This window comes from Homo sapiens, chromosome 5, assembly GCF_000001405.40.
Source record: "Homo sapiens chromosome 5, GRCh38.p14 Primary Assembly".
Classification (NCBI taxonomy): Eukaryota; Metazoa; Chordata; class Mammalia; order Primates; family Hominidae; genus Homo; species Homo sapiens.
The window spans coordinates 152378971-152405668 of record NC_000005.10 but is presented as its reverse complement, the minus strand read 5'-3'; the positions used below and the strand labels follow the sequence as shown (position 1 = coordinate 152405668).

The following is a 26698-nucleotide window of genomic DNA, read 5'->3' as shown; positions in this document are numbered from 1 at the left end:
CAGTGGAACAAGATAACTTGAGAAATCTATTGATCTCCTATTTTCATCATGCTGTACGGCTGACAAGGGTTAGTGGAGATTGGTATTCTTTTGCCCATGGCCCTGCAACTTTAATTTCTATGTCTACCCAGATTCCCACAACTTTGCAACCTGCATTGCTCAAAGTGCCCATCCATGAAGTTCGAGTGGCTTCTTTTGTGTCAGCTCTGCCTTCCCAGCTCCTTCCCATTCAGGGAGAGGTCTCTGCCTCCTCCCCTGCTTCCTGACTCGAAGCCAGCACCCCTCTCCTCCAGTGCAGCCTAACACACTCTCATTGGCCCTCAGCCTGTCAAGGGGAGGGGCTTGTGTCTCCGGGGCTCTTCAAAAGGGATCGGCGGTCCAGGCAGCCTAACCTGGAGGGTGAAACACTCACTCTCTCCCAGCCTTCCTTACGAAGCCTGTGACTTTCGTGACTGCTTTCTCTTTTTTGTTTTCCTTTTTTCTTTTTTTTTTTTTTTTCCTGGCTCAGCTTGAAACAGAGCCTCGTACCAGGGGAGGCTCAGGCCTTGGATTTTAATGTCAGGGATGGAAAAACTTCAGAATGCTTCCTGGATCTACCAGCAGAAACTAGAAGATCCATTCCAGAAACACCTGAACAGCACCGAGGAGTATCTGGCCTTCCTCTGCGGACCTCGGCGCAGCCACTTCTTCCTCCCCGTGTCTGTGGTGTATGTGCCAATTTTTGTGGTGGGGGTCATTGGCAATGTCCTGGTGTGCCTGGTGATTCTGCAGCACCAGGCTATGAAGACGCCCACCAACTACTACCTCTTCAGCCTGGCGGTCTCTGACCTCCTGGTCCTGCTCCTTGGAATGCCCCTGGAGGTCTATGAGATGTGGCGCAACTACCCTTTCTTGTTCGGGCCCGTGGGCTGCTACTTCAAGACGGCCCTCTTTGAGACCGTGTGCTTCGCCTCCATCCTCAGCATCACCACCGTCAGCGTGGAGCGCTACGTGGCCATCCTACACCCGTTCCGCGCCAAACTGCAGAGCACCCGGCGCCGGGCCCTCAGGATCCTCGGCATCGTCTGGGGCTTCTCCGTGCTCTTCTCCCTGCCCAACACCAGCATCCATGGCATCAAGTTCCACTACTTCCCCAATGGGTCCCTGGTCCCAGGTTCGGCCACCTGTACGGTCATCAAGCCCATGTGGATCTACAATTTCATCATCCAGGTCACCTCCTTCCTATTCTACCTCCTCCCCATGACTGTCATCAGTGTCCTCTACTACCTCATGGCACTCAGAGTGAGTATCTAGGCTGGGGTGGCCTGAGGCAGCATCCCTTCTTTTTTCACAGGCTCAAAGTTCAGAGAAAAACTTAGAATTGGGGAAATTCAGAAATGGAAGGGAACAGAGGGAAAATAGAATGAGCTCAGATGGGAAATTGAGACTTAAAAGGACTTGCCTCAAATGAGATGAATGGTAACCACAACTATTTATCATTTCCTTTAGCTCGTCTTCTATTTTTCTTCCCTCTATTCTTGGGGTTCTCGTATCTAAATGTTCCTAAGAATCATGCAGAAAACTTACTTTGGGAGCAATATGCATACCTCACCCCCAGGAAAATGGGATTCAGAAGGTCTGAGGTGGAGCCTCATTTTAAATAAGCACATCAGGTGATCTGGGGTGAGGTGGCCACACTTTGAGAGACTTCTCCACATCCTGTTGTCACTTTCCAGCCCCTGGCCACTGCCTGCATTGAGATTTTCCTGTACACCAACTTGGTCTGAGTATAACACAAACTATCCCTGCCTATTTTGTAGTCCAAGATAGGTATTCAGTTTTAAAATCAGACATTTACTGTGGTTGCTCCGACCCTTTCATTAAAATGAGGTTGAAACAAAACAAAATAAAACTATATATATTATATGTATAGTTACATATATAATATATAGTCATATATATAATATATAGTTATATATAATATATAATCATATATATTAATGACATGACTGAGATAACTTGAGCTTCTTTTGAGCAGGTGCAGATTGAGAGATAAGGAAGTAAACAGCACATGAGATAGAGTGAAAAAATGTGAATAAGAGCTTATCTGAAATTAAGAAAAAGATATCACTTATTTTGCAACATATATAATTAGAGGTTCTTTTCCTATGTTTATGGTGGTAAACTGATTTCTTTTTCAGAAGGGGGGTGTCTAAATTAGCTGAGAGAAACTATTTTTAATAAGGGTAGGAATTAGTCTATATAATTCCTCTCTGGTATATTCTGCACCCAAATTCATGAAGAGAAAAGTTCTTCACAATGACAATTTTACACCCACTTAAGGGAGGTATTATAGCTTGTGTAGTAAACAGTTACGAGACCATTTAGACTCCCAGATCTACAGCTGACATATAATATGCCTTTAGGCAAGCCACATCATTCTCCTGGAATTAGTTTTCCCGTGTATAAAATGAAAAGGTCACATCAGATCCTATCTATGTCCCCTGTAGCTCTAACAGTCTATTATTCCTTTAAAAAAAGAAAAAAAAACACCTGTGAGCTGAAGTAATGTGAGTTTTAAATGACAGGACAAACAGATATCACATTCACATCATTTGCTTTGAGATGGCTCTGACATCACACTTTATGTGACAACTAATATACTCCTATTTCAGTCCATCTCTGAGAAGCCGATTGTCAGAAGCGAGTGCCCAATGGTAGTCCTTTTGAATACCTATTGTCCCTAAGGTGAATAGCGAGGTCTAAGTAGGAAGAACAAATTCTAAGTGTCACGGACATCTGGGCACAAGAGTAAATCTAATTAGGCAGAGAGCTGTGCCAGTCCCCTCCTGGAGGGCTAGCACCTGTATTCCCAGAGACATGTCCCACCCCGCACTAGCTCACAGCCATGTCTTAAGAACGTCCTGCACATCTCACTGCGGGGAAAAGACTTCTATACAACTCCAAAGAAAGTCTTATGAGAAATACCCACCCACTTAATATTACCTCATCCAATGCCAAACAGTCACCTATTTTGGGTCAATTTGGGAAAAATATTTAACTTTGAGTAGGAAATGCACAGTTCCTCTTCCAATCTGTTACAATCAGTTTCATTGTGTTTTATTATCAAAAGTCCATGGCTACCTTGTATCAGGAGGTAAGTGACAGCTCAGACAAAAGTTTAAAAACCACCCTGGTTTGCTTTGTGTATGTAATGCAACTTTTGACAGCCTGTTTTCAGGAAGGATGAGCTGTTATCCAGGGTACCAGAGGACACCAGGAAAGAAACTAACGCTTACAAAGTCACTTCTAGAAGAATTTAAAAATCTCTATACTGAAACTCAGGAAAAGTAGGCCCTATTCTGTGTCACTGATCGCAGGGCCTTTATGTACACTATACCTGTAGCCTGAAATGTTCCTACTGTCTGCCACCACTCCCCCTTTTGCCTTTCTAACCCTCATTTATTCTCTGTGTCATACTTCAACACGCTTCCTCAGGGAAGCTCTCCCAGATTCCCTGAGCATCCCTGTTTCCTGTTGTAGGTACTCATGGCTCTCCGTGATTTTCCTTCATTACAATTTATATTTCCATACTTATGGATTCCTTAATTAATTGTTTTCTCCCCAACTAGACTGTAAGCTCAGTGAATGAATGAGGCCAAATTACTTCCTTCATTGCTGGGCTTTAGCTTCTCTACCTTTAAAACAAAGACTTGGAAATATCATCTCAAGGAGACCCAAGCAATCCTAATGATTAAGTGAGTGACTCTGTTGGATAGTTTGAAGGTATGATTGACTCTGGGACCCACTGCTTTCAGAAGGCAGCAAGCCCAAGACTGATGAAATCACAGGACCAGAGAAGAAGGAGGAAACCCATATCTGTGCTCACAGCTCGGCATTCAGTCACGCTGCATCATTCCAGGACACAGCCACCACTGAGCTGTTCTCCAGGCTTTGAACATTATAGAGATAGAAAATAGACAATTCTAGGGCAAGTCCCTCCACATGTGGGAGGAAGTTCTGGTGACAGTCTGATTTAGTTCTTACATCTCCTGCATGCTGCATTCATGATTGAGGTGATGAGGATGGATGTATGAATTGCAGCAGAATTCAACCATGCCAACACAGGGTTGCACTAATTTTTTTAAGTAAATAGATTGTGTTAAGATTATAGAGATATTTACACAAAACCTATATTATAATCTGGTATTCTGAAACTAAGTCCCACAAACTATATAAATGAACATCTGGTAGAGTGATTTCAGGCAGTATAAACAACTGATCAGCATAATGTATCAACCTGAATAATAACCTCGCGAACCTCCCTTTCACTTTGCTCTTCTGTAGCTAAAGAAGGTAATCACAATTTTTAGTAATCACACTATATAGTAATGGTAATCACAACTTTTAGTAATCACAATATTTAGTAATAGTAATCACAAATTTGCACTCCTCCTTTTGTAACCTGAGTTGTAAAATAAAAGTTTTGGGGTGGGGAAGAATAATGAATGGTTGAATATCTACTTTACTAAACATCTGTAGGGAAGTGAAATTATTCAACGATAAAGCAGCATTGAATATTGGCTAGACTAACTGTTTTGATTCTATTCTATTCTGTCAACCACTCCAAATTCTGTTGGAACAATGTACACCATATGTAAGTAATCAATTTTTCACTCTTCCTCTAGTTAGCTAGTTAGGTCATTATAAACTAAGGAAGCTGCAAAATAAGCAACAATTCATCAGCACATGATTTTCTTTTTAGTGTAAACTATGCTGCTACAGGAAGCCTGTTCATAAAAGAATTGCGTGAACTATTTGTTTGATGTTTGATTTTTTTAAAAATTGTTCCTTGGGGTGGAGAAATTACCATTGAGAACTGTTAAACACAAGGCAGGAAGTGACTAATATATCTCAATATTTTTTATTGTTCTTAATTATGAACTGAAATAAAATAATAGAATAACTGCATAATGTAAAAACCACAATCTTTAAGTGGCATGAAGTAATTAGAACCTTTAATAGATTTAATCTAAGATGAGTTAGTAAAGTTTGAAGTTTGATACATTGCTCTAACCTTGAATGTGTTTTTCTTCTCAGCATATCTGCCTCCTTTGTATCAGTACAGGCACTCTTTGTGAGCGAGTGGTAACATGAGAAAAGAATTTCTAGAAGGGACTCAGTACTTCACAAAAGTAACCTCACATATATAAACAAACAACTCTAGTTTTTAAAAATCATTTTTTCTGATGTCTCTTTAGTATACTCTGGATAATAATCAGAATCACTGTAATAACAGTAATATACAACTTGCTGAGTATCATGTGCCAGGCACTGAGATAAGCACTCTACCTGCATGATTTTGTTTTACTATTGCATTAATAATACTTTTCACCTTCAGATTTTTCCTTTCTAGTCCTAATCTCACAGAGTCTTTAATCCTTTACTTTATGAAGACACAGATACATGTAGAACACTCCGATATATTCAAGAGACAAATGGCCAGGTTTATACATTATCCAAGAGGATTCTTGAGGTCCTATGTGGTCCTGAGTGCTACCTAACTGCAAGCAGCATATATGTTTGTTAGGAAGACTGGATATGGATTTGCTGAAGTTTCGAGGCAGCTTTTAAAGACCCACTCTTCCAAGTCTATTTAATTTTAAATACCTTTTCTGGAATATTCCTTCAAAATGCTATCCAGCCCAGGACGATTATTGCTTCTTATAGCAGTTTGTTTCATTATTGCACATAATCACAACAATTTCTTCCTTATCTTGAATTAGAATCTATCTACCTGTAACTAAATAGATTGATTCTAATCTACTGCCATGACTGTATAAAATAAGTTAAATTTTCGTTCCACCTGATGGCTTCAATCAATTAGCCTGGACTTTTTACACTGCCAATGAGAGACTCCAACCCTGGGTAAATACCAAAGGGAGCATAGACATGAAAAGTTCAGAAGCCGAGCTAGCTCTTGGTGAAGATTAATTAAATAAAACACACGATCTTATTATAAACCTAACTTTATTTCTGTTTCTTTGCTCTTTTTTTCTATGGTGTTGGTTTCAACCTCAAACTGCACACAGTCATCCTTTGGTGGCTCCAAGCATTTTTTCTTTGTGGTGGAAAAAAAATAACGTTTGTAATTCCAGACCTCATATGCAGAGAAGGACTCTCTCTGGCAGTCCCAATAAAAAATAAATGAAAACTTGCATCTTCAGAAGCACAAGCAAATATCTGAAATCTCATTGGTCTGCATTATTCAATCATTGTGACTGGAGGATAGGACAAGTTGATTGGCTAAATTGTTTAGGGACTATACCTGGAGCTGAAGTTTAGTGACACCTCTATACAAATTAAAGACTAAGAATGGGGAAGGAGTACATTCCCTAAGGGAAAATTAGGGTGCTATTATTAAGAGAAGAGAGAAGTAAATGCTAGAGAACTAATGGGCAAATATATATTCACTATGTACTATACTAATTTCTGGATATTTGATGGTATTTTATCATGAGTCCTTAAAGCTTCCTTTATTTGGCCAAACATCCCCACAAATTAAAAAATGTGTAAAATAAAGAGAAAAACTTCCACAACTGGATGAATGATGTAGATCTTCAGTGCTGTGGGAGTTCAAAGGAAGGAGAAGACAGTGGGCTAAAGTGGTCATCAAAGTCTTTCAGGAACAGGCAGGACTTAAACTGAGCAAGGAAGATTGTGCATACAAGTAGTGTTGATAGCTGAAAGTTTCAAATGTTACATCAAGGATCTCCATATCGTCCAACAAGGATGAATATACTTTAAACATCTTAACTCAGAAACACATAAGACTTTTCAGTAATTAATATTACTGTAATATTAAAACAACATTTCCCAATTTGTGTTTGTCAAGATGGTACAAGGTAATCCACTGAAAAGGGTTGGGGGAAAATATTGTTTACTCAAATAAACACTATCTCCCTTTTGGCTAAGATATGAGTAGGTGATGTGAGTGTGGAAGGTAGAGGGGAGCTAAGTGGAAAGTTGATACACTATCCCCCTTGAAAATTCATAATGCCCATCAGCATATTTAAGTCTCTGAGAAGATCCACAATAAATACTGATGAGGCAAGAAGAATTCCTGTTTTGGTTTTCTACTAATTATCCACCACAGAGCAGAAGGATTTCACTTTAACAGATTTCTAATAATTATGAATGAGTGAATGAATGAATTGAGAAGCCTTTCTAACTTTTCTTGAACTTCAGAATTTTACATTTTTCATGGAACACCTATTAACATGCTACACAGCCAAGTTTCCACATAACTGTATACGAAAAGTGGTTGCACTATTACTTGGCCACAATCACTTATCCAGTTGAGTAGATGACCTGAATCCAATTCCACCTTCAACATACTGTTAAACATTTGACGTAGTCTTACATTTCTCTAGGTCTCAGTTCTTCTGTCTTCAAAATGAGCGTTTGAGTTATGTTTCTCAGATTTTAACAGGAGGAAAAATGTTTCTCTTTCTTACTATCTCTCCCAACTTACTTCCCTTTCAGCTAAAGAAAGACAAATCTCTTGAGGCAGATGAAGGGAATGCAAATATTCAAAGACCCTGCAGAAAATCAGTCAACAAGATGCTGTGTAAGTGCCCCATTTTGTTTTTTGTTTTGTTTTGTTCATAAGAGCAAAGGAGGTACATTTGGTACCAACTAAATGCTGCTGGGGTAGGTTCCAATTTATCCTGAAACAGAGTATTTATGAGAGTAGATTAAGATCAAGGAGCAAAGGGGAGAGATATATAATGAAGACACCTCCTTAATGGTCTATGTCAACGCTAGGTGACCTGTCTTCCTTTGCTTCTTCAAGCTTCTAGGACCTGTGTGTTTTGTTTCATTTTTGGTTTTGAACCCTCAAAACAACACTCTCAGTTTCATCCACTGACATACACTCTGTGTGGTGCTTGGTAAATTACATTCACTTTCTCAGCCTTTGAGCTTCACTTTCCCCCTCTGTGAAATAAGCAGGTTTTTAACCTATTTGTATTATGGATTTCTTTTAAAATATGATGAAAGCTGTAGACTCTCCATTCCAAAAAAAAAAAAAAATGAACAAATATGCATACACAAAAGATTTTACAATCCATCTCAGGAGGTCACGAACCAACCCCTGATACTCATAGACTCCATGGGATCTTTTAGTTCCAGGTTAAGAACATCTGGCAAGCATCTCCAAGTAGCCATTTCACATATGACATTGTATAACTTTGTTTCAAACAGTATACTTTTGAATAAATAAGATCTTTTTAAAAATTCACTTACTGAGCCACAGTCTCCCAAAAGAATGTTATAAAAATATATGATACAGCACTACTATATGAGAGGAGTTACTGATGAGGGAAAGGAGATTTATAATACATTTTGCAAATCAAAATCTAAAGTTTAGAAGAAATGAATCCTCCAGGCTAATATGCATATGAAACATTCACTGTAACTATACAGCATTTCTGAACAAAAAATAAACTGTGAAGTCCCTGAAGTGGGTCTTCTCGATTCTAAGAGTTATCTTCTTGGAAATATTTTAGCTCCTCTTGGCACTTGACTTTCTCTATCAAGAAACATAGTTTCTTCATTATCCCTCCCCTTTTCTCCTTGGTCATAATCTACTCTCACAAAAAAAAAAAAAAAAAAACATGAAGCTCACTCATATTAAAGTCACAATAGCAGAATACACTGTAAAGTATTTGCGTTGGGATGGGGTTCAACTTTAACAGGAATTAAAGTTGTTTGTTGTTGCTGTTGTTGTTGTTGTTTTTGAGATGGAGTCTTGCCCTGTTGCCCTGGCTGGAGTGCAGTGGCATCTCGGCTCACTGTAACCTCTGCCTCCCAGGTTCAAGCAATTCTCCTGCCTCAGCCTCCTGAGTAGCTGGGATTACAGGCGTGTGCAACCACACCTGGCTGATTTTTGTATTTTTAGTAAAGACGGGCTTTTGTCCAGGCTGTTCTTGAACTCCTGACCTCAGGAGATCCACCCCTTGGCCACCCAAAGTGCTGGGATTATAGGCCTGAGCCACCACGCCCGTCAGGAATTAAAGTTTTAATTAAAGGGAATTGTAGGCAGTAGTGAACAGATTAGGGACTTTTCTTGGGTTGGCAAATTCAGTAGAAACCTATAGTTATCTTTGAAACCATACCACACAGGCAAACAACTTACTCTGAATGTGTTTAATGCCAACAGGAAATGCATGTATAATACTGCTTACTATGAAAACTTCATATCTGTACACAAGTACAGAAAACTGTAAAATGAATACCCATGTACCCATCACCCAGCTTCAAAAAGTATTACCTCATAGCTAATCTTGTTTCATGTATACCCTTATCTCTCCCCTAGCCCCAAAAGATTATCTTTAGGCGAATCCCAAGAGTCATGTCATAGCAAAGTAAAGTATTTACAACTTCAAAAGGAAAAAAAAAAAGTGTGTGTGTGTGTGTGTGTGTGTGTGTTTAATTTGTGGAGCTTAAATGCCCCAAAGAAAAACTACAGAAATACCAGTCTCTGTTTTGGGAGGTGAAAATAAGAGATGGGAAGGAATTCTGTGCTGTAGCAATTTATAATATGACAGACACACCCCTTCCAATCAAAAGATTCTTGTAAAGTACTATTAGGCTTGTGGTTGTTTGATCTCTTCTTTCTCCTTGCCTACCCATTGCAGAATTTTAAATTATTGAATTCAGAGAAACTTCTAATTATTCCTATAACAACAAGATGAATTTATATACACATTTAACAGTTTATTATTTATCTTTCACAATAAGATGTTTTCAGGACTTTGAAATAAATTAAATACTATTTTAAATGTTCTAAAAAGTTTTACATTATATAAGAAATCTTGTATAATCTTATGGAAAACTGATCCTAGATCTTATACAATTCATTCTTGTGTTTTAAGTGTTTTGTACTGAGACTCTTTGGGATCTAGTTTGCCTCTATAACTGTTATAGCTTAACAAAGTTGAAGGGAAAAACTGCCAGAAGAAATGATTGACTCAGAGTGAGCATTGTATACCTATCCTTGCACAGACTGTCTTCTGGTCTCCCATTTATCATCCATTTTCAGTTGTCTTGGTCTTAGTGTTTGCTATCTGTTGGGCCCCGTTCCACATTGACCGACTCTTCTTCAGCTTTGTGGAGGAGTGGAGTGAATCCCTGGCTGCTGTGTTCAACCTCGTCCATGTGGTGTCAGGTAAAACCTTAGCTGGATTTGGTGCATGACTAGTATTCAGGTAACAGCACCTTCTTCTTCATCTTGCTTAGATGCCTAAGTACTCCAATTTATCACGGGGATCTGCCATGCTATAATGAAGACATTTGATTTTTCTTTTATTCAGAGATTGATTATGTTTGATACTGTTCCAAATACATATATACCAGATCACTATTTTCAAGGCTACTTTATGGAAAACCTCAAGTCTAACTGTGATGATTACAGAAGGAAAATGGTCAAGGAGTGATTCCTTTGGTTATCCTCCAAATGGCCATGCAATTAAATTGGTTCTTATTTAGTAAACACCCATGTCCCTGAAATCTCATATTGCCTTTGGGAAGTATTATATCCTCATGAAGGAAAACTAAATGGTATTCATAGGTAATCAAGTTCTCCTTTTAGGCTACTGTAACTCTGCTTGTTGAGGATACCATAGTATATTGTGGAAACCATGGTGGAAAGGTCAGTAAGTCAGATGACCTGGATTTGCAACCCAATTTCACCATTGCTATTCTGAGTGATCTGGAGAACGTGGCTGCCTTCACACCAAAGTTTCCTCAACTGTAAAATGGCAAAAAAAAAAAAAAAAAAAAGCCTCCTGTACACAAACCATGGACTGATGGTAAGGAGCAAATGCAATAATAGACATTAAAGAGCTCTTTAAGCTGTAATTGCTGTATATCTTTCTATAATCATCACAAGGTCATTAGGTGGATATTATGATTAACATTGTATAGTCAAAAATAAAACCCTTCCACAAGAAGAAATGATTTGCCCTAAGGCACTTAGCTAACAAATAACCCACCCAAGTCATCTAACTTCAAGTTCAGTGTTCTTTCTACTAAAATGAAGCAAAGAATGACCACCTAGTTTCTTCTTTCTCAGTCAGTGACAGCTAACTCAGTGTTAGCCTTAGGCTCAGACCTCTTCTGTCCCCCCACCTCTCCTGGTCACCGGCTGATTCTATGGGCTCATTAGATTATAGAAGACATCACCGGAAAGGAAAGATAAGATCACCTTTTACAAGTTAAGCTCCAGATGTGTACAAAGCAGAAACAATGACATCTATACTGAATATTGTGTATACTATGTATTTTCTGTCACCCTCTTTTTTGTACTCAGCAGGCCTAATGTATAGCTTATTCCTGGACATTAGCACTTTCCTGTTCAACCATTTGCAACCAAAGCTCAAAAATATGTATACCTCTTAGTTTATCCTTTTGGTTAATCTGCGGAAAACAGAAATGTTTAAATAAATGAGAAAGCACTACAAGGTCAAATGAGACTTGACTAATTGACTACAATTCTCTGGATGCGTCAAGGCAATTATCTTAAGATTTTCAAGTTATAGCCTCAATAATGACATGATCCTGTTCAGATACCATCTCCCCCCTTTTATATTAGCCACTAGATTAAATCTAAATCTCTTAAACCCTACAGAAAATACCCCCAACTTGCCTTTTAATCCTCCAACTTTTATTATTTTTATTCATAGACCATATACTTATCAAATTGGTAATTAGAGAGTTCTGCACATTATTCCTGCACAATATGGCCATTCCTGCCCCTGAATACTTATGCGTGCTATATACCCTGTACCTGCAACACCCTCTCCTGTCTTCCTCAACTATCTCTTACCCATTTTGAGGCCTGGCTAGAGTTCAATCACCCCCCACTAAATCTTTTATGATTATCACAGTCCTTGTGTTTCTGTTATTATGTGAATTGCTATAGCATGATTTGTTATCTCATATTTGTTCTTAACAGATACTGCTTGGTATTGTTGTATTGTTAATTATTTAACTTAGCCATAAATCTTGTCTCTGCAGTACCATTCCAAGATCTTGGAGAACAAAGTCTAATTCACTACCTCCCAATGTGCTTTGAAGTTCATGGCACATAATAAGAGTTAAATCAATATTTATTTTTTGAATGAACTAATAGTATTAATGCATAGAAATATTCTCCTTTAACATTCTTCCATGTTTATTCTGTAAACAAGGCATATAGCATTCTGAATGTTCTGAACCACATAAATAAGGACAACAAGGAACCTTTTGGCAATATTACCCATCACTTGTTTTACATTCTTAGCCATTCTCAACCTCTCTGTGGATGGTATCTTAACTTTACCCTCACAATAATCCAGGGAGGTGGGTTAGGCTGGAAATCACATTCCCATTTTACAGAGAAAGAAACTGAAGTGCCAGGGTTTGTCTAAGGCCACAGGATATTAGAGGGCCAAGATCAGAAACTAGGTCCTCTGATTCCCAAACTTGGGCTGATTTTGGGCTTTAGAGAAATAAAATTTAAAAAGGCAATAAAGGAAGAGTGTATTCCAAACAGGAAAATGACAATGTGAAGGTTAATTGGTAGAGGAAATAAATGGTAAAATACAATTCTTCAAAAGGTGGAGGAACCATCAAGGGAAAAGGGTAGGTAGGAACAGCACGCTAGGGAATATTTCTTTGAAGCCGTATCTTAGCATTATAAGGAGTCTCAGCAGGAACTAAGCCTTGGCTGATTTACCTTCTTCCACTACTTGCAATCCCAAATTATAGATTTAAGTAAAATTCCAATGAGATAGAAACGTTTCTCTTCCCTCTGATATTTAAGCATCTTTCAGTCATGTTATAGAAACATGTTCTTTAATTAAACAAGTAGTGATCAAAGAAAGTTGCTGAACATCTCAGAGAGATCCCATGTCAGCCTAACTTACTCCAAGACTCTTTAATCTTTGTGTTTGATGGCTAAGTGCACAGGTGGAAGATCTATTCAGAGCATTTTGTATTCTCAATTAGATGCTTGTATGTATTATCACTTATAAAAGAGGCAATCACAGGGATTCTAGGCCTTTGTAAATATTTATGCTTCTTCCTTCATGCCGGTCACTTAAGTTCTTCTCAGCACATCTTTTTAAATCCCCTGCATTCCAGGTGTCTTCTTCTACCTGAGCTCAGCTGTCAACCCCATTATCTATAACCTACTGTCTCGCCGCTTCCAGGCAGCATTCCAGAATGTGATCTCTTCTTTCCACAAACAGTGGCACTCCCAGCATGACCCACAGTTGCCACCTGCCCAGCGGAACATCTTCCTGACAGAATGCCACTTTGTGGAGCTGACCGAAGATATAGGTCCCCAATTCCCATGTCAGTCATCCATGCACAACTCTCACCTCCCAGCAGCCCTCTCTAGTGAACAGATGTCAAGAACAAACTATCAAAGCTTCCACTTTAACAAAACCTGAATTCTTTCAGAGCTGACTCTCCTCTATGCCTCAAAACTTCAGAGAGGAACATCCCATAATGTATGCCTTCTCATATGATATTAGAGAGGTAGAATGGCTCTTACAACTCATGTACCCATTGCTAGTTTTTTTTTTTTTAATAAACGTGAAAACTGAGAGTTAGATCTGGTTTCAAAACCCAAGACTGCCTGATTTTTAGTTATCTTTCCACTATCCTAACTGCCTCATGCCCCTTCACTAGTTCATGCCAAGAACGTGACTGGAAAGGCATGGCACCTATACCTTGATTAATTTCCATTAATGGAAATGGTTCGTCCTGAGTCATCTACGTTCCGAGTCAGGCTGTCACTCCTACTACCAATGGCCACTGTGAGCCACAGAAGGAAGACATGTACGTGCTGTTCTACTTTATATGATGTGAGAAGCCAACATCAGTGTCCCTTGGCAGCAGTCTACAGGCATAACTTGTTTTATTGTGCTGAATTTTATTGTGCTTCTCAAATATTGCACTTTTAAAAAAATTGAAAGTTTGTGGCAATGCTGTTGAGCAAATCTGCTGGCATCTTTCTTCCCAAAGGCATGTGCTCACTTCATGTCTCTGTATCAATTGTCATAATTTTCGCAATAAACTTGATTATTATTATATGTGCTTATGGTGATCTGTGGTCAGTGATCTTTGATATTACTATTGTAATTATTTTGGGAAACCTATGAACTGCTTCCATAGAAGATGGAGAGCTTAATAAATATTGTGTTGTTCTGACTGTTCCACCCACCAGCCATTCCCCATCTTGGTCCCTCTCCATGGGCCTACCTATTCCCTGAGACAAAACAATATTAAAATTAGGCCAATTAAGAACCCTGCAATGGCCTCTAAGTGTAAGTGAAAGGAAGAGCGGCAAGTCTCTCACTTTAAATCAAAAGCTAGAAAGGATTAAGCTTAGTGAGGATGTAAAAAAACTGAGATAGGCTTAGAGCTATCTATGCCTCTTGTAGCTTTTAGCCAAGTTTGGAATACAAAAGAAAAGCTCTTAAAGAAAGTTAAAAATGCTACTCTAGTGAACACATAAATTATTGTAAGAAAACAAAACACCCTCATTGCTGATACAAAGAAAGTTTGAGTGGTCTGGATAGAAGATCAAACCAGCCACAACATTCCCTTAAGCCAAAGCCTAATTCAGAGAAAGGCCCTAACTCTCTTCAATTCTATGGAGACAGAGAGAGCTGAGAAAGATGCAGAAGAAAAGTTGGAAGCTAGCAGAGGTTGGTTCATGAGGTTTAAAGAAAAAAGCCATTCTCTATAATATAAAAGTGCAAACTGAAACATTAAGTGCTGATGTAGAAGCTGCAGCAAGTTATCCAGAAGTTACAGCTAAGATAATTGATGAAGTTGGCTACAGAAAAACAAAAAAGATTTTTAATGCAGATGAAACAGTTTTATCTTGGAAGAAGATGCCATCTAACTAAGGCTTTTATACCTAAAGAAGAGAAGTCAATGTCTGACTTCAAAGCTTCAAAGAACAGGCTGACTCTCTTGTTTGGGGATAATGCAGCTGGTGACCTGAAGTTGAAGCCAATGCTCATTCACCATTCTGAAAATCCTAGGGCCCTTAAGAATTATGCTAAATCTACTCTGTGCTTTATAAATGGGGAAACAAAACCTGGGTAACAGCACATCTGTTTACAGCATGGTTTACTGAATATTTTAAGCCCACTGTTGAGACCTACTGCTCAACAAAAAGATTCCTTTCTAAATATTACTGCTTATGAATAATGCACCTATTCACCCAAGAGCTGTGATAGAATTGTACAAGGATATTAATGTTTTCATGCCTGTGAACACAACAGTCATTCTGAAGCCCATAGATCAAGGAATAATTTCAACTCTGAGAAATACATTTCCATGAGATGGTAGCTGCCATTGATAGTGATTCCTCTGATGGATCTGGACAATGTAAAATGCACCTTCTGAAAGGAATTCCCCATTCTAGATGCAATTAAGAACATTAGTGATTCATGGGAGGAAGTCAAAATACCAACATTAACAGGAGTTTGAAGGAAGTTGCTTCCAACATTCATGAGTAATTTTGAGGGGTTCAAGACTTCAGTAGAGGAAGTAACCACAAATATGGTAGAATAAGCTAGATAACTGGATTGGAAGTTCAGCCCAAAGATGTTACTGAATTGCTGCAACTTCATCATAAAACTTGAACAAATTAGAGATTGCTTCTTATGGATGAGCAAAGAAAATGATTTCTTGAGATGGAATCTACCACTAGTGAAGATGCTGTGAACGTTGTTGAAATGACAACAAAGGATTTAGAATATTCTATAAACAGCTGACAAAAGAGCTGCAGGGTTTGAGAGGATTGATTTCAATTTTGAAAGAAGTTCTCTTGTGGGTGAAATGCTATCAAACAGCATTGCATGCTACAGAGAAATCTTTCATGAAAGTAGAAGTCATTGGATGCAGCAAACTTTATTGTTGTCTTATTTTAAGAAATTTCCACAGCCACCCCACCCTTCAGCAACCACCACCCTCATCAGTCAGCAGCTGTCAACATTGAGACAAGATCCTTCATTAGCAAAAAGATTGACTCACTGACAGTTTACATTATCATTTTTGTTTTTTAGCCACAAAATATTTTTAAGTTATATACATTTTTAAAACTTCATGCTATTATGGACTACAATATAGTGTAAACATAACCTTTATATGCACTAAGAAACTAAACAAAAAGTGTGACTCGCTTTATTGCAATGGTCTGGAACTGAACCCACAGTATCTCTGAGGCACGCCTGTATTTACCTACTGCCTCATATACTGCCATTATAATGTGATTCCTTACAGTCCTACAGCATTTTACTTTAAGAGTTCCCCCTTATAATATGAGAATGCTCCTTAGAATGATTATCTCTACCACCCCAATCGCCAAGTCATTATCAGCCATTTCTCATTAGGAATTGGATCCAAACTAAGAAGTTCAACTTAGAGAAGAATGAGAAGAGGGAGGGGCTGCGGTGGAAGGTCAAAAGAAGCATAAACTATACCAAACAGGAGCTTAGTTATTTTCATAAATTAGTCTAGACTTGGATTTCTAATGTCTAATTTCATATAGTATAGATGGAAGTATGGTCTACTATCTTGGAATAAAGACAAGTCAAATGGCAACAATTGGTCTCAAACCCATAACTTTTACTTACTCAGTCTTTTATTACTTACATAATACTCTTCACACATGTAATATGGACAAAACTACTTCCTAGAATAATTTTCCATTATACCATCACAAGTAATGTATACTCTATTCAAATGGAATTACTTGCTGTTCTTATGCAAATGCATCCCACAGTTTTTCCCAGCTGCAGATCTTCATGCGTAGAAGGCCCACTTCATCTCCAATCTCCATCTGTTTCTATCCTACTCATCCTTCAATGTTCATCTCAGTGTGGTGCTTCCTCCATGAAGCCTTGCTTGATTTATTCAAATAGATATTGTATCTGACTTCTCTGTCAGTTTATGTCTCTTAAGCTTTTTCTTCACTCTGCTTTTTATTTCAGTGATTTATGTTCTTGCTTTGCCAGAATGTAAATTTGTCAAAGACATGATGTATCTGGTATTCATTTTTTCTGTTGTTGGAACAATGGCAATATATCTATCACAATGGTAGATGTTCAATAAATATGTGATAAAGTGAGTTGGCTTCATATTTCAATGTATTGAGTTAAGCAACAATTTCAAATGGAACCATATTAAGAGACAAAAGACTAAGATTAGGTTTCTGACAGGGATACCTGACCTTCAGTTGGCCAACCAATCACTTGTGATTATAATGATATGCCTGCTGTCCCTATGGTACAAGAAGGCCCTTCCCAATCTCAGGAGTTACTGATGCTGAAACACAAAAGTTCCAGCATTTAGCCTCTGAATTGTTCATAAGTTGAATGAATGATTCCAATGATAAATGGGGGTATTGGTCTCTGACATCATCATTTGTTAATTTAATAGTCATATTCAGATACTCAACATTAAAACAAACAAAGAAACTCTGCTAATTGCAACCCAGTTTTAATAAATCAGAATTCTCTCATGATGGTTTACATTAGTGGGCAGAATTCTGTGGTCATTCGAGGATTGAGTTGAAAAGGCTCTGCAAAACAAAACCTCAAAAATGGAGGAGAAATTAATTTTCTACTTGCCTTTTAAAGTAGAGATATTCTTGAATGATAATCTATTAACCCTTAAACATCAAATTAACATCACCTCCCGATTACCAGGACTAAAAATGCTGCTGTTGTCAGTGAATAGATAGAAAGAGAAACACACTAAAACTAAAGCTAGCAATTTGACTGCTTGACTAAAACTTTGGTCCTTTTTTGTTTTCTCCTCATTTATCTTTTTCTTTTAAAAACTTGTATCAGCTAATTATTTACACATAAATTCTTCCTTTAAACACATCTTCACTTGGTGACATTAGGAGATGTGCATCATGCCAGGTTATAAACTTCCTGCCCTTGAAAGTTGATGTCTAGAAGAAGAGATTATTATTTCTGAAAACCATGACAACAATAATTGCTTAAATCTGATTGTGAAGTGTGCCACAAAATATAAATACAAGTACTTTGGCACCATATGAAAAAGGGATTTGACCTAGTCAGGAGGAAATAAGATTCAAAAAGAAAAAAAAAGAATAAAATAATGTTGGCTGAGTTTTTGTTTATACATACATCTACACATGTACATATATACATATAGGAAGTATGTATTTCAAAATGAAAATTAAAATATCACAAGTTCTAGAGTTAGCTTATGTAATGGTTCATATAAAATTCATAGAACAAAGGGAGAAAACAAAATTAAATTGTTTAATGCTTCTAATGAGGTTAATTAAATTGACCTCATGATCTTTTTATGAATTCCTTGTGATCTCTGAGTTTTAGAATAATGATAGAAGAGTCCACACAGTAAACATGATTAATAAAATATAGTCATGTGCTGCATAACAATGTTTCAGTCATTAGTAGACCACAGACTAATATGTGAAGGTGGTCCCATAAGATTATAATATCACATTTTTACTGTAACTTTTCTATGTTGAGATATGTTGAGATACAAAAATACTTACTATCGTGTTACAGTTATTTACAGTATTCAGTACAAGAACATGCTGTAAAGATTTGTAGCCTAGGAGCAATAGGCTATACCATATAGCCTAGGTGTGTAGTAGGCTATACCAGCTAGTTTTGTGTATGATGTTTGCACAATAACAAAATTGCCTAATGATGCGTTTCTCAGAAAATATCCTCATCACTAAGTGACACATGACTGTATTGGTAACTTAACTCTTTTGCAATGAGATAGTGACTTTTTAGCACTCCAGTAATCTATAAGCTTAGTGAACTGAAGCAATGACATTCAGAATGTTGCCTGTCACATTAGTTTCTCTAGCTCAAAGAAATAGCAGGCGTTTTAAAGCTGACACCCATGAACAAATGTAAGGAGATCCAAGAATCTCCTGAAATTATATTCAAAATTCTTAGTACTTTTCCCCCCTTGGAGAGAAAATGTATATAGCCTTGCTTAGCTCCTCAAAGTAGTCTGTGACTCAAATTATTATAACCTCTATTGTAAAGTGCACTTAAGTCTTACATAAAGATACTCTCCTAATGGATGAATTTTAATTGAATGAACATATTTGTGGGACAGCTAAAGAAGTAACATTATTCCAACATAAGAATTCAGTATGTAAAAGTATCAGTGGTTCAGTAGTGTGCTGGTACTGGCTTGGACTGGCTTATAAAAGCTTATTGTTAAATATTTAGGACTTTTGCAGGCCTGTTGTCAAATGATTGATAGCTTGAAATCAGTCACGGTGAAAATATTTGTATTGCAGAAATTGGCAAACACCACAAATCAGGGCTTTTTTCCTCTCCCAGCTAGCTGGCTTATCAGCACACCACTAGCTATTAATATGCTGGTATTCTGCCATCTTGTTGTAATATATGTGATTTGTTTTTAGAATAAATGCCAATAACACTGTTATAATTATAGGCCACTTAAAGTTGTGGTTAACTCATTGAAAAAAATAGTCAATGGACCAGATATTTGACCCAGAGGTACCAGATAAAATAGGCTGAAGCATGCTAATTATGACATGAAAGCCTCATCAGCATTTTGTAATTAACCTACAGTGGAAGTATTACTGTGGAATGCTGTCCATTAATATTAGTGCAGAAAATAGCAACAGATCTACTTATCTTTTGTATACATCTGTTTTTAAATATCCCACAGGATTCACTGTAAAAAGATGCAAATATTCCACATTCTCCTCTACTTAGCTGAAGACTCTTTTTCTTTAGTATGTGGAAATGCACAATAAATACATTATACGGTTTTCAGATTACTGACTGAAAGGAAATTTACAGTCATTCTTTCACTATCTCTTCTTAGCTGTGGCCCTGATTCAATACAGACATGCAGCCTATTTTAAACCCCTATGTACATTATGAATTTTATAGACATTTAGAAAATGAAGGAGCCTTCAGGATTATCTAGTTCAACAGTTTTTTATGTATCAGTAATGTTAATTGAGACTTTTCTAGCTACTCTACTAAGAGCTTTACATTTATGATCTATTTTAACCTTACCAAGAGATGGACACTATTATAATTCCCATCCCATAGAACAAAAATACATTGAAACAGAGGACTTAAGTGATTTGCCCACAGTTACACAGCTAATAAATGTTGGAGATGAGATTTAATTCTGCCAGTTAGTTCTAAGTCTAGACCGCCAGCTCTTAGCTACAAATCTATACCAACTTTCTAAAGCACAAAAAGGAAATATGGCTTGTCTGAGATGAAACAATGAGTCAGTAGGTTCATATCAGGACTGATTTATCCTGACTTGGGCCCATGGTTCCTTCCATACCTCACTACCTTTAATGAACGAGGAGTACCTATAGCCTGTATAATTTAGAAAATAAATTATAATATAAAAAAGCATACTTCTTCAATGTGTAATAATGATCTTTGGGTCTCATTTAAGAGAATTTCATTAATAGGTTTATCTATCTAATTTGATTAGCTTTTTAAAAAAAGCTTGTATTCCTTATACACAAACCAAATTCTTGACAGCAGAAGGACATAGCTTTAAAATATGCTAGGTAACTGTTGGGTGGCTCACACTGGGATTCTTAAAAGTCTAAAATCATGCTTTGACTGAAATTGAAAGAAGGTCTTAGAATTCAGTCTCAAACTTCACCCTATAATTTTTACCTATTGGAGTGTCATTTCCTAATGGTGTAAAAGAAAAAAAAATTGCACTGGAAACTTGTTAGTAATGGCAAGCAAGCTTTATTCAACACAATTACAATGGGGGAGAGACTAGTGCCACAGGTGAGAGAAATTGAACTCAACTCCAAATATGACTGAAACAAGTGGGGATTTATAGCCTATAGTCAGAGTGAGGGAGACAATAAAAATTGCCAAGAGGAACTTTATTAGGTATTAGGAGGCTGAGAGAGTTGATTAGATAAAAAACACATGAAAAGAAGCCTGGCTGAATATCAAGGTCTATAAAATAGCTTAGTAGGATTCTAGCTAAAACTGGCCTCAGCAGGCCAAAGATGGGAGCCACAGAGAGGCCTAGTAAAAACAAGGCTCAAAGGAGCCTGACTACAGTTTGATCAAGGAGCGATTCCTTATCAATTGTGAGCCTATGAGCTGAGGATGGCAACAGGAGAAACCCAGGGTAGATGGAAAAACTCTTCAAGTGTTATAAAGTGCCAGGTTCTGCAATATGATTCTTAGAAAAGTTGTGACTCACCTAAAATTCTTCTCTCCACCTTCTTCTCAACTTGTCTCTTCGAGAAGTTTTCCATGACCATATTTTCTCTTATCATAACTCTCCTTAGGGTTCTCCAGGGAATGAGAACCAGTAGGATGGATGAATGAATGGATAGATAGATGGATGATGGTGATAGATAAATAGATAAAAAAGAAAGGAATAAAAGAAAGGAAAGAGAAGAAGGAAGGAAGGAAGGAGAGAGAGAGAGAGAGAGAGGAAGAAAGAAAGAAAGAAAGAAAGAAAGAAAGAAAGAAAGAAAGAAAGAAAGAAAGAAAGAAAGAAAGAGAGAAAGAGAGAGAAAGAGAAAGGAAGGAGGGAAGGAAGGAAGGAAGGAAGGGAGGGAGGGAGGGAGGGAGGGAGGGGAAGGGAAGAAGGAAGGGAAGAAGGAAGAGAAGAAGGAAGGGAAGAAGGAAGGGAAGATTGGCTCAGATGATTATAGAAACTGAGAAGTCCCAACATCTGTAGTTGGATATCTGGAGACCCAGGAGAGATGAGGGTGTAATTCCCGTTTGAGTCTAAGGACTAAAGACCCAGGGAAGGCAATGGTATAAGCTTCAGTTCAAGGACAGAAGAACAAAGTTCCATCCCAAGCAGTCAAGCAGGAGAACTTCTCTCTTACTTAACATTTTTGTTCTATTCAGATCTTCAATTGGTTAGATGAGGCCCACTCACATTAGGAAGGGCAATCTCTTTTACTCAATCTAACATTCAGATGAATTTAAATGTTAATCTCATCCAGAAACACCCTCACAGGCACACCCACACTAACGTTTGACCAAAATGTCTGGGTGTCTTGTGGCCCAGTCAAGTTGACACATAAAATTAACCATCACAGAACAAAAACATATCTCAAAATAATAAAAGCTATTTATGTCAAACCCACAGCCAATATCATACTGAATGGGCAAAAGCTGGAAGCATTCCCTTTGAAAACCGGCCCAAGAAAAGGATACCCTCTCTCACCACTCCTATTCAACATGGTATTGGAAGTCCTGGCCAGGGCAATCAGGCAAGAAAAAAAAAAGGGGGGGGATATTGAAACAGGAAGAGAGGAAGTCAAATTGTCTCTGTTTGCAGATGACATAATCCTATATCTAGGAAACCCCATCATCTCAGCTCAAAAGGTCCTTAAGCTGATAAGCAATTTAAGCAAAGTCTCAGGACACAAAATCGATATGCAAAAATAACAAACATTCCTATACATCAACAATAGACAAGCAGAGAGCCACATCATGAATAAACTCCCATTCACAATTGCTACAAAGAGAATAAAATACCTAGGAATACAGTTAACAAGGGATGTGAAGGACTTATTCAAGGAGAACTACAAAGCACTGCTCAAGGAAATAAGAGAGGACACAAACAAATAGAAAAACATTCCATCCTTGTGGATAGGAAGAATCAATATCATGAAAATGGCTATAATGCCCAAAGTAATTTATAGCTTCAATGCCATTCCCATTAAACCACTATTGACATTCTTCACAGAGTGAACAGGCAACCTACAGAATGGGGAAATTTTTTTTCAATCTACCCATCTGACAAAGGTCTAATATCCAGAATTTACAAGAAACTTAAACAAATTTACAAGAAAAAAAAATCCATCTAAAAGTGGGTAAAGGACATGAACAGACACTTCTCAAAAAAAGACATTTATGCAGCCAACAGACATGCAAATAAAAGCGCAACATCACTGATCATTGCAAATCAAAACCACAATGAGATACTATCTCATGCCAGTTAGAATGGTAATTATTAGAAAGTCAAAAAACAAGTGCTGGCAAGGCTGTGGAGAAACGGGAACACTTTTACAATGTCGGTGGGAATGTAAATTAGTTCAACCATTGTGGAAGACAATGTGGCCATTCCTCAAGGATCTAGAACCAGAAATACCACTTGGCCCAGCAATCCCATTACTGGGTATATACCTAAAGGAATATAAATCATTCTATTATAAAGATACATGCACACATATGTTTATTGCAGCACTATTCACAGTATCAAAGACATGAAATCAACCCAAATGCCCATCAACAATAGACTGGATAAAGAAAATGTGGTACATATATACCATGGAATACTATGCAGCCATTAAAAAAAGGAGAACATGCTCCTTGAAGAGACGCAGATGAAGCTGGAAGCCATCATCCTCAGCAAACTCACACAGAAACAGAAAACCAAACACTGCATATTCTCTCATAAGTGGGAGCTGAACAGTGAGAACACATGGACACAGGGAGGGGAACAACACACACTGGGGCCTGTCAGGGGGATGGGGCAGGGAGAGTTATCAGGACAAATAGCTAATGCATGTGAGGCTTAATACCTAGGTAATGGGTTGATAGGTGCAGCAGATCCCCATGGCACACATTTGCCTATGTAACAAACCTGCATGTCCTGCACATATATCCCGGAACTTCAAGTAAAATAAAATTTTTAAACAAGTATCCATCACAGTAACTCACACATACTTTCACACAATTGCTTCTGTGGCTCCTAGAGATTTTTCTCTAGTCATTTCATTTTCTGTGAGTCTGCATGATTCATGCTTAGTATGAATAGTGTGTCTTCCCCACCCCCAATTCCTGACACAGTCACTAGAAACACCCTCTCACCTCCAGGCCATGATTTTCTACCTCAAAAGATCACTTATCTTTTAAATTAAAAAATACATTTAAGGCCGGGCGCGGTGGCTCACGCCTGTAATCCCAGCACTTTGGGAGGCCGAGGCGGGCGGATCACGAGGTCAGGAGATCGAGACCATCCCGGCTAAAACGGTGAAACCCCGTCTCTACTAAAAATACAAAAAATTAGCCGGGCGTAGTGGCGGGCGCCTGTAGTCCCAGCTACTTGGGAGGCTGAGGCAGGAGAATGGCGTGAACCCGGGAGGCGGAGCTTGCAGTGAGCCGAGATCCCGCCACTGCACTCCAGCCTGGGCGACAGAGCGAGACTCCGTCTCAAAAAAAAAAAAAAAAAAAAAAATACATTTAAGTTATTAACACCTGTGTATTGATTTATAGATTTTTTTCTTGATGGAAAAAAATCAAGATATTATAGAAAAGGAAATTATATTTGCATGTTAGATTCAGTCTCCAGTGTCTGAAGACATTTTTGATTGTCTTTTGATGTCTGGTAGGTAGAGGCCAGGGTTTCAGTGCAACATCCTGCAACGTCCAGGATGGCCCCCAAAATCATCTGACCCAAAATTTCAATAGTGCTGAGGTTGAGAAACTCTGGTCTAGAGGAAAGACAGTTAGATGTTCTTAGAAGGGAATTTGATTTTTTGTTGAAAAAGAATTTCCAAACTAGAAAGGATCTTAAAGAGTGTACTCAAACTGCCTTTCTTCAATGACAGAGGAATCAAGATTCATTACTTGCATAATGTGCCTGAGGTGTTGCAGCTGCTCAACTCGGAGAAAGAACTGACACCTATGTCTGCTGACTACCAGTGCAAGACACATTCTTGTTTCCCTGCCCGTAAAATAGAAATCCGATTAACCAAGAATATTACCTTAATAACTTTTCAAATGAGAAATAATTTAAAACTCTTTAGTTGTAAAATTTATATCTATGTTAGGCAGCTTACAACATGGACCCCTGCAATGATCCCCACTTTTTGGTATTCACATTCTTGTGTAATTTCTCTCCTTGAGTGTGGGCTGGACTTACTGACTTTTTACTAACGAATAGAATATAGCAGAAAGGACAGGACGTTCTTTTTATTTTGTTTTATTTTTAGACCGGGTCTCACTGTGTTGCCAGGCTGCAGTGCAGTGGCGCCATCTCAGCTCACTGCAACTTCCACCTCTCGGGTTCACATGATTCTCCTGCCTCAGCCTCCTGAGTAGCTGGGATTATAGGTGCCACCACCACACCCGGCTAATTTTTGTATTTTTAGTAGAGACGAGGTTTCATCATGTTGGCCAGACTGGTCTCGAACTCTTGACCTCGTGATCTGCCCACCTCGGCCTCCCAAAGTGCTGGGGTTACAGGCGTGAGCCACTGCTGCTGCCCAGCCAGGATGTCACTTTCAAGAATAGGTTACAAAAAGACTGACCTCTCTCCTGGGCATACCTCCCTCTCTCTCTCTCCCTCTCTTGGACAGTTCTCTCTGAAGAAACCAGCTGCCAGTGAGCTTGGAAGCAGACCCTTCCCTGGTTAAGCCATAAGGTGTCTGCAGCCCCAGTGGACACCTTCACCATAGTCTCGTGAAAGACCCAGAGCCAGGGACACCCAGCTAAGCTACACTTGGATTTCTTACCCACAGAAAGTGTGAAATAATAATTTTTTAAAAAGTGTTGTCTTAAGCCACTGGGTATTGGTGTAATTTAAGTTACTGTTGTTACAGTAAAAATTTAATAATCTTGAAATTATTTAGGAGGAGGAGAAGAACTCAAGTATTGGCATATCTTTACAACACAGAAACTTTCAAGCCACCTTGGGACTGTTTTATTTTGAATTAAATTAAATTAAATGTAATGGGACCATTGTAGAATTAACTTTAATGTCATTCAGCCTGGACCTACTCTGGGCATATTTGCTGCTGATAAAACCACTTTAATTTGTATGTCTTTAATTCTCTGGGCATTGCAGAAAAAGAAAAAATAGAAAAATAAAATAAAACCTGATTGCCCATAATTTCTACTGTGTTTACGTATGCACCGGAAGAAACTGTAATTTACAAACTGAAAGAAATAGTACAACATCTCGTTGGTACTATTTTTACTTGCATCTAATGGATGTGCAAAGGAAATGCTGAAGACTCCCTAGAGATATTGAAAAAATACTTTACTACCCCCAAGTGGACATGTAAGTTATATTTACTGAAATAAAATGTAAAATTGGCATTGTCATCCAAAAAACAGGTATGAAATGATTATATAACAGACTCAGAATCTCAGAGCTGGTAAGAATTTTAAAATTTAGAACTTTAAAATATAGAACCTTAGAACTGGTGAGATATTTGAATTCCCTCTACAATCTATCTTATGCTTGTACATTTTTTCATTATGTAAGTTTGCTGGCTACCAAGGCAGCTCATTCCCTTTTCAGACAGCTTAATTTGAGTTGTTCTCATAAGTCTTTATTTCTCTTGAAAACTGCCTGCAAACCATGCAAGATCTTTCATGTCATCTATACCATTCTTAATGTTATCAGTGACTTACAAAAAGGGAGATACTATAAATTTCCAGACAGCATATTTAAATAACACAGAAAACTGAATTTTAATCTTTCTTGAGTGTAACCCTAAAAAGTCCTCCAACTATTGTTTCCTTATGTAAATGATTCAATCAATTCTGACACACAAAGGGCCCCTACAATCTTTCAGACTCTCCAGGTTTTCTAGATCTGGTTTATGAGTCATGTCTCA

General features: G+C 38.0%; 1 protein-coding gene across 1 annotated transcript, besides 3 other annotated features; it reads left to right on the top strand.

Annotated features, from left to right (window-relative positions):
* Positions 1 to 389: 389 nt before the first annotated feature.
* Positions 390 to 14123, top strand: NMUR2 (neuromedin U receptor 2). The gene is made up of 4 exons (NM_020167.5): positions 390 to 1281; positions 7525 to 7609; positions 10085 to 10210; positions 13168 to 14123. Exons 1-4 carry the CDS (start codon positions 556 to 558, stop codon positions 13476 to 13478), a joined length of 1248 nt encoding a protein of 415 aa, NP_064552.3. The 5' UTR covers positions 390 to 555; the 3' UTR covers positions 13479 to 14123.
* Positions 18746 to 18915: an enhancer, noted in NCBI's record as "experimental_82611 CRE fragment used in MPRA reporter constructs". NCBI's record gives its function as "activates a minimal promoter by MPRAs in K562 erythroleukemia cells, with activity observed for both the introgressed and non-introgressed 5:151766400 or rs4392608 variant alleles {active_cell/tissue: K562}" and the evidence as "EXISTENCE:reporter gene assay evidence [ECO:0000049][PMID:34662402]".
* Position 18830: a transcriptional cis regulatory region, noted in NCBI's record as "Neanderthal adaptively introgressed variant 5:151766400 (GRCh37/hg19 assembly coordinates) or rs4392608 in the experimental_82611 CRE". NCBI's record gives its function as "modulates activity of the experimental_82611 enhancer by MPRAs in K562 erythroleukemia cells {active_cell/tissue: K562}" and the evidence as "EXISTENCE:reporter gene assay evidence [ECO:0000049][PMID:34662402]".
* Positions 25451 to 25620: an enhancer, noted in NCBI's record as "experimental_82596 CRE fragment used in MPRA reporter constructs". NCBI's record gives its function as "activates a minimal promoter by MPRAs in K562 erythroleukemia cells, with activity observed for the non-introgressed 5:151759695 variant allele {active_cell/tissue: K562}" and the evidence as "EXISTENCE:reporter gene assay evidence [ECO:0000049][PMID:34662402]".

Excerpts from the sequence above, each read along its gene's own strand:
- NMUR2 (NM_020167.5), top strand. The coding sequence starts at position 556 with ATGTCAGGGATGGAAAAACTTCAGAATGCTTCCTGGATCTACCAGCAG. Across the intron at positions 7,610-10,084 it reads ATCAGTCAACAAGATGCTGT|TTGTCTTGGTCTTAGTGTTT; the intron begins GTAAGTGCCCCA and ends ATCCATTTTCAG. Across the intron at positions 10,211-13,167 it reads CCTCGTCCATGTGGTGTCAG|GTGTCTTCTTCTACCTGAGC; the intron begins GTAAAACCTTAG and ends CCTGCATTCCAG.